The 7,012-nt window shown below is 45.6% G+C and overlaps 2 annotated features.

The window, feature by feature from the left end:
* Positions 2,102-2,954: an enhancer, noted in NCBI's record as "NANOG-H3K4me1 hESC enhancer chr6:3511328-3512180 (GRCh37/hg19 assembly coordinates)". NCBI's record gives its function as "activates a minimal SCP1, AML or CMV promoter by ChIP-STARR-seq in naive H9 embryonic stem cells {active_cell/tissue: H9 hESC(naive)}" and the evidence as "EXISTENCE:reporter gene assay evidence [ECO:0000049][PMID:30033119]".
* Positions 2,299-2,593: a silencer, noted in NCBI's record as "tiled region #10864; K562 Repressive non-DNase unmatched - State 4:PromP". NCBI's record gives its function as "represses a minimal TATA promoter and a strong SV40 promoter by Sharpr-MPRA in K562 cells {active_cell/tissue: K562}" and the evidence as "EXISTENCE:reporter gene assay evidence [ECO:0000049][PMID:27701403]".

Raw genomic sequence — 7,012 nt, 5'->3', positions numbered from 1 at the left:
GGCTCATGCCTGTAATCCCAGCATTTTGGGAGGCAAAGGTGGGAAGATTGCTTGAGTCCAGGAATTTGAGACCAGCCCGAGCATGGTAGTTATCATACATACAATTATAATTACATATAATATATTAATGTAATACATTTTATATATTTTGTATAATATATTATCTAATAGTGTATTAATTATAATAAATAATTATTTACAGTAACTAAATAATTAAAGTGGTCTGTAAAATTCTGTGTGTGTGTACGTGCATCTATAATAACACAATATGCCTTTTTTCTGGGCCAGCTACTCTTCCAAACACCTGGCATGAATTATCTCACTTAATGTTCACAACAGCCCTCTGATGTGAGTATTGTAATTACCACCACTACCGAAACACATGCTACCATTCTGCCTCCCCATCCTCTGAGTCCCCGCGGCAGGCCCCTCGCCCAGCGATCTGCTTGGCAGGAGTGGCTCTCATCCTCACCTTCACCCCACCAGCACTTTCTTTCTGCCTCTTTGCCACCGAGCAGGTCTCAGAGCCTGCCTTCTTGCAGCTGTCAGGGTACATTCAGGACTCTCCAATATACGAGAAGCCCGGCAGGGCAGGACAGGGGCAGGCCTGGCTCCTTCTGTGTACCTGCAGCCCAGGTGGACGTCCACAGCTTGTCACGTCCCCTTGGAGCAAGCCAACACCTAGTCTTGAGAATTGGCATCCACACAGATGGAGGGGTCAGAAACCTGGTCATTGTTCTCCGCGGCACAATTTGCTCAGCCACGTCTTCAGCATAACTGTTAGACCCACTCGTCAAAGGTAATGTGGCCTGTGGGTTTGCTCATGATGCAGAAGTTCCACCAGAGCGCAGGTTTAGAAGACAGAGTTGGCAGTGGCTGGTGCGGAGGGGCTGGCTCCTGATTTGGAAGCTTTAAGCTTCTCAGGCTGCCAGGTGAATGGTCATGGCCTGCCCGAGGCCTCAGGTGTGACTTGTCCTGCTCCATCCATGGAGAGACAGCTCTGGTTCCACCGTCCAGTTATCCCCCAGGCCACCAGGAAAGGAATCCGGAACATCCTGCCCTGCAGCCTCTCCCCTCCTTCAAGGACACCTCAGTGCCACACACAGGGCCTTAAATCTGTCACCCCCAATCCTGGCAGCCTATTCCTTTCCTAGTTCCTCTTCAGCAGGCCCAGCAAAAATCCCTCCTCATTTTCACTAGGAAGCAGGGTCAGTTGGAGGCAGTGGGTACTTTGAGAAAGCTGCCATTTTCATAACATTTAATGCTATTCGGTATCTATCTAGAGGAGAAGCCGAGTGCCACGCTCAGCTCTCCTCCTGCCTTCCCCTCCAGCCAAGGCTCAAACTCCACACTTTTGTCCCAAGCAGTTCCACTCAAGCCCTCAATTTACGTATTTTGACCAGGAAACCAAAAAGCCCACAGGTGACTGGACTTGCATTCCTTAGGAGGGCACTTTGGTCAATTTAATGGAGTGGGAAGGGCTCACCCCTTGCACCAAAGTCAATATCCAAGGATTCTCTCCAGCCACATGGAGTCATCTCTCTGAGCCATGATCAGGTGGATAAATGTTGCTTTTCTCTTGCCCATTACATTTCTAGGACTGTGTTAGTGGGTGTTGGAGATCAGCCTCCTCAGAAGCAGACTTTGAGACCAGAATTTTCGTGCAAGCAATTTCTTCAGGCAGTTCTCCTGGAGAAACTGATCAACAGGCAGGAACAGCACAGCAGGAAAGGTAGGCACCCAAGCCAGGTGGTAAAAGCATTTTCTGCTTGATCCTGCAGAGAAATTTGGAGTGAAAATTACACCTCCTCAGAGTTTGTCCTGTGTCATAGCAAGGAACCTGAGCTTCCATATTCCTTCATCAATTAGTCATTGCCAAGGGCCATCCTCAAGGAGCTGTCATTCCTGGATACTTTCAGAACTCTAGGAATGGAGGCAAAGTGGCTGCACTCACCCAAGGGCAGCTGGGACACAGGTGCTGGCCATCAGAAGCAAAGCACAAGGATGCTAGGTGTCTTCATTCATTGTTGCGTTGCTATAAAGGAATACCAGAGGCTGGGTAATTTATAAAAAGGTTTACTTGGCTCACAGTTCTGCAGGCTGTACAAGAAGCACCAGCACCTTCTGGGGAGGGCTCAGGTGGCTTCCACTCATGGCAGAAGGTGAAGGGGAACCAGCGTGTGCAGGGAGGAAGCAAGAGAGGGGAGGAGGTACCAGGCTCCTTTAACAACCAGCTCTCTCAGGAACTAACAGAGCAAGAACTTACTTGCTCTGCTCCAAGGGAGGGCATTATCTACTCCTGAGGGCTCCACCCCCAAGACCCAAACACTTCCCATTATGTCCCACCTCCAACATTGGGATCAAATTTCAACAAGAGGTTTGGAAGGGTCACACATTCAAGCCACAGCCCCGGGGCTTGGGCACACAGCAACCAGGAGAGGGAGCCAAGGGGAGCTGGGTGGAGCACAACAGTGCTCATTGCAGTGACCTATGTTGAGTGGCACTTTGGGCAATTGCTGTCCACTGGCCACTCCTTAATCTGGCTCTGCCTAGGATTGGGGTTTAATAACCTAGTAGAATCCAATTATGACCCTGGCGTCATTAGGTAATCAAGATGAGCCTCAATCTCAATCCCTCTCCCTCTCCCTCTCTCTTTCTCTCTCTCTCTCTCTCTCTCTCTCTCTCTCACACACACACACACACACACACACACACAGCACAGCAGCAGAGCAGTTAGGAAACACAGGGCTTCATTTATAGATGGGCTCCAGAAAGCTGGCCCAGGTGGGAGGCACCTTCCTCTCCCTGTTCAGTACCATATCACCCCTCAGCACCCTTGCCATCCCGCTGCTCCTTCCTGCTCCCACCTCTCAGTGGTTCCGTGTTTGTCTGAAAAATAGCATCTGTTTCCTTTTGTCACTGACCCTCCGTCTTCTGAATCCATGGGATTTGTTTGTGAATCCTTTCCTGGAGCATACATAATTTGTGTATCAACCCTTCTCCCAGACTCCTGGAGGCTGGCTTCCTCACCACCCAGGTTACTGGCTCTCTGGAGCATCAGTCTGTGCTTTGTAAGGCAAAGAGGACTCCGTTCTGAGGATTACTGGTGTTTCTCACGATTTTGTTGTGGCTAGAAGCCTGACATTCTGCTGGAGATCACATCGTGGCCCCAGCCCTGAGGTGCACTGTGCAACCCTGGGCATTGCAGAGATTCCACAGCACACAAGGAGGTGCGCTCTAGAAGCAGCCGGCCAGCTTCCTGTCCCATCGCCACCATTCAAGAGGGGAGGATTAGTTCACTTTCCACATCTGTCAGTGGAGTTAGGAATAGAACCTCCCTATGAGCTTGTTCTGAGAAAACAAAGTCATGCGGGCAAATAGCACAGCACCTGCCTGGCCACCGTGAGCACTCTATGAATGGTGGTGGGGCCCTGGCAGCAGCAGCCAGTGTCGTTCCTATCACTGCCAGCATGAACCCAAGTAAGAGGCTTAGGGAGAGTCCCTCTCAGCTTCAAAAATCAAAATCAAACCTCATTTTCTGGTCACTGACACTAGGAAAACCCGTATATCAGCAGCAAGCTCTGTTCTGCTGCATGTACCTTTGGTCTTTGTAAGAAGAAAGAGCTTAGCACATGGCAGACACCCAGTAAAACTGGCTGCCTGGACCTGCTGCAGGATGAAGGGAACTTGTGACTGTGACTGTGTGTGTCATAAAAATAGTGATGATTAATTAAGGGAATAAAAAATAAGATTGACTTTTATGGATTAATTAATAGATTGACATTCTTCTGGGCTTTTGGACAATGTGTTAAAAAGCAGAAATCAAGCTCAAATGGCTAAAAGCAGGGAGGAGTTCATATCTTTTAACATCTCTTCTCCCTATTCACTCACACAAACTTTCTTTTGTTTTAATTCTATTCATGAATAATGTTATAGCTACAGAAGAGTTGCAAGAATAATATCAAGAATTCCTATATATTCTTCACCCAGATGACCAATTATGAAGTGTTGCCACATTTGCTTTATTACTCCTCTCTAAACATATGTGTGTATTACTATTTTTTGAACTATTTAAAACTTAATAGCAGACACCATGCCCTTACTCCTAAATAGCTCAGCATGGATTTTGTAAGAACAATAACTCTTATATAACCACAGTACAATGATTAAATTTAGGTAACTTAGCATTGAGACAATACCGTGATATAATCTACAGTGCATATTCAATTTTTTTAATTGCCATATTCATGTCCTTTATGGATATTTTTTCTCTGATCCAGGACCCAAAGGGGACCACACAGTGCATGGAGCAGTCATGTCTCCTTCATCTCCCTTCATCAGAACTTCAGCCTTTCATTGTCCTTAAAGATCCTGGTAGTTATGAAGAATACAGGCCACTTCTTTTAAAGAATGGCCCCCAATTTAATTTTGCATGACATGCTTTTATATTAGATTCAGGGCCCACATTTTTGGCAGGAATCCTGCTTGAGTGATGTGTTCACAGTGAATCCCTGAGTCTCCATGAGTCAGGAGGCATCTGTGTCACTCCATTCGTGTTGCCATCACAACATACCTGGTATTGGATAATTTATAAAGAACAGAAATTTATACCTCATAGTTTGGGAAGTCCAAGATCGAGGCACCAGCAGTTTCAGTGTCTGGTAAGCGCTTGGCCTCTGCTTCCTTGCTGCTGTGTCCTCCAGAGGGGACGAACACTGTGTCCTCATGTGTTGGGCAGAGGGCAAAAAAGCCCAGCTTGCTCCCTCCAGCCCTTTTATGAGGGCATTAATTCCATTCACAAGGACCGAACTTTCACGGCCTAAGCAAAGGCCTCACCTTCTAACAGCATCACCTTGGTGATTAGGTTTCAATATACTAATTTTGGAGGGACCCATTATACATTCAAACCATAGCAGTGCCTGATACTAGTTAATCCCATAGTTGTGAATGATAATTTCTCTTACTTGGTAAGGTAATGTCTGCCAGATTTCTTCAAAAATCACTGTTTTAAAGAAGAAAACAAATATATTATAAATATTTGAGTCTTCCATAAACAAATATACAAATTTAACACAATCTCTTAAAATCTCCTGGCAAGTTTCCTTCCTTCAGAAGTAGACAAACAGATGCATTAAAAAAAAAAAAAAAAACAAGCAAGCATAGCCCAGGAAAACTCTAAAACAGAAGAAAAATGAGGAGGGATTGGTCTCCCCAGCCTTTAAAACTCATCATAAGGCCTCGGTAATTAGTACTGAATGGCACATGAATAGCCCAATGGAACAGAAGAGAAAGTTCAGAAACAGACCCAAATGTGGCCAGGCACAGTGGCTCACGCCTGTAATCCCAGCACTTTGGGAGGCCGAAGTGGGTGGATCACAAGGTCAGGAGTTTGAGACCAGCCTGGCCAATATGGTAAAACCTCATCTCTACTAAAAATACAAAAATTCGCTGGACATGGTGGCGCACGTCTGTAGTCCCAGCTACTTGGGAAGCTGAGGCAGGAGAATCACTTAAACCCAGGAGGCAGAAGTTGCAGTGACCCGGGATCGAGCCACTGCACTCAACCTGGGCAACAGAGAGAGACTGTCTCAAAAAAAAAAAAAAAAGACCCAAATGTATGTGGGAAATTAATAGATGATAAACATGGATACTCTCATCAGTGTGTAAAGATGGACTTTGTAACGGACAGCACTGGGACAATGGATAGCCCTTAGGGAAAAGGTACAGTTATGGCCACAATATCCATAGTGCATCAAGATAAATGCTCATGGGTCAGTTTCAAATGCAAAAAAGTAAAACTGTAGAAAAACTACCACCAGAAGGCATCTCTTGCAACTCCCCCTGACCCCCAGAATTCAGATCCACTCTCCCATGTCTTCAACCCTGGAAGGCCTCCCTAAGTGGGGCCAAGGTTGAGCCACAACAAGACAGGGGAGGCAATGCGGGAGGTGAAGGTGGGGTATTTATTTTCCTGAGTTTTTCCTGCAGGTCTCTATTTCTCATGATAGATGCCCTGCTCATCTCTGGGCGCCCTGGGCTACACAATTCTCGCTCCTTCCATGCTGCAGTAACTTCTCCGTCGCCTGTGGCCTAGGAGTCATGACTCCTCTGTTGCTGCTATGTCTTGATTTTAGGACCACCCCCGGGAGTCCCCTAAAACTTGCCCACGCCCTTGCAATAAACTTTTGTAGGGCTTATGTAATTCACCCTTTTATCTATAAACCTCTCTTGAATTATCCTAACTCCAGTGTGCCATTTGCTTCCTGTTAGAACTCGGATTGATAGAATAACCTTGGAGTAGATTGGCATATTTAACTCTGTCTCAAAATCTAAAAGCCATAAAGGAAAGAGTAATAACTGTGAATGTAAATTAAAAAAAAAAACTGTATAGAAAACGAAAACCAAAGCACAACACAAACAGAAAAGACAAAAACTAGGGGAAATGTGTGTAGCTCATGACGCAGAAAAGTACTTTTCTCCAAAACACACGAAGCGCTCCCAGAAATGAAAGATAGAATGACCACAGATTAATTTTTAAAAGTGGGCAAAAGTCATGGGAAGTTTACAGAACAGGAAATGCAGATGACCTGAAATCCTTGCAAGCATTCATAATTAGAGACATGAAAAATCAAAACTACACTAGGAGATGACTTTTCCTTAATCAGGTGGATAAAATTCCAAAAGTTTGACCAAACCCTCTGTTGGCTAGGCACTCAAAAGGCAGGCACCAGTGTCTGTTCTCAGTGAGATTGCAAAATGGGGCATTCCCTATTAAGGGCAATCATCATCAAAATTTCAAGGGTCCTCCCTCTGACACAGCAACCCCACTCAAGGGATTATATCTGACAAGTATGAACTGACACATGACAAGATTATTCACTGCAGCCTTGTTTGTGATACTAAAAACTTGGAAACCACTCAAGCGTCCATGTCAAAGGAACTGTCTAAATTAACCTATGATTTGCTCACACAGTGGAAAGCCCTGGGACTCTCAGGCTTTGAATATAACTGA

The sequence above is a fragment of the Homo sapiens genome, chromosome 6, assembly GCF_000001405.40.
Source record: "Homo sapiens chromosome 6, GRCh38.p14 Primary Assembly".
NCBI classification, from domain to species: domain Eukaryota; kingdom Metazoa; phylum Chordata; class Mammalia; order Primates; family Hominidae; genus Homo; species Homo sapiens.
This window is presented reverse-complemented; position numbering and strand designations above follow the sequence as displayed.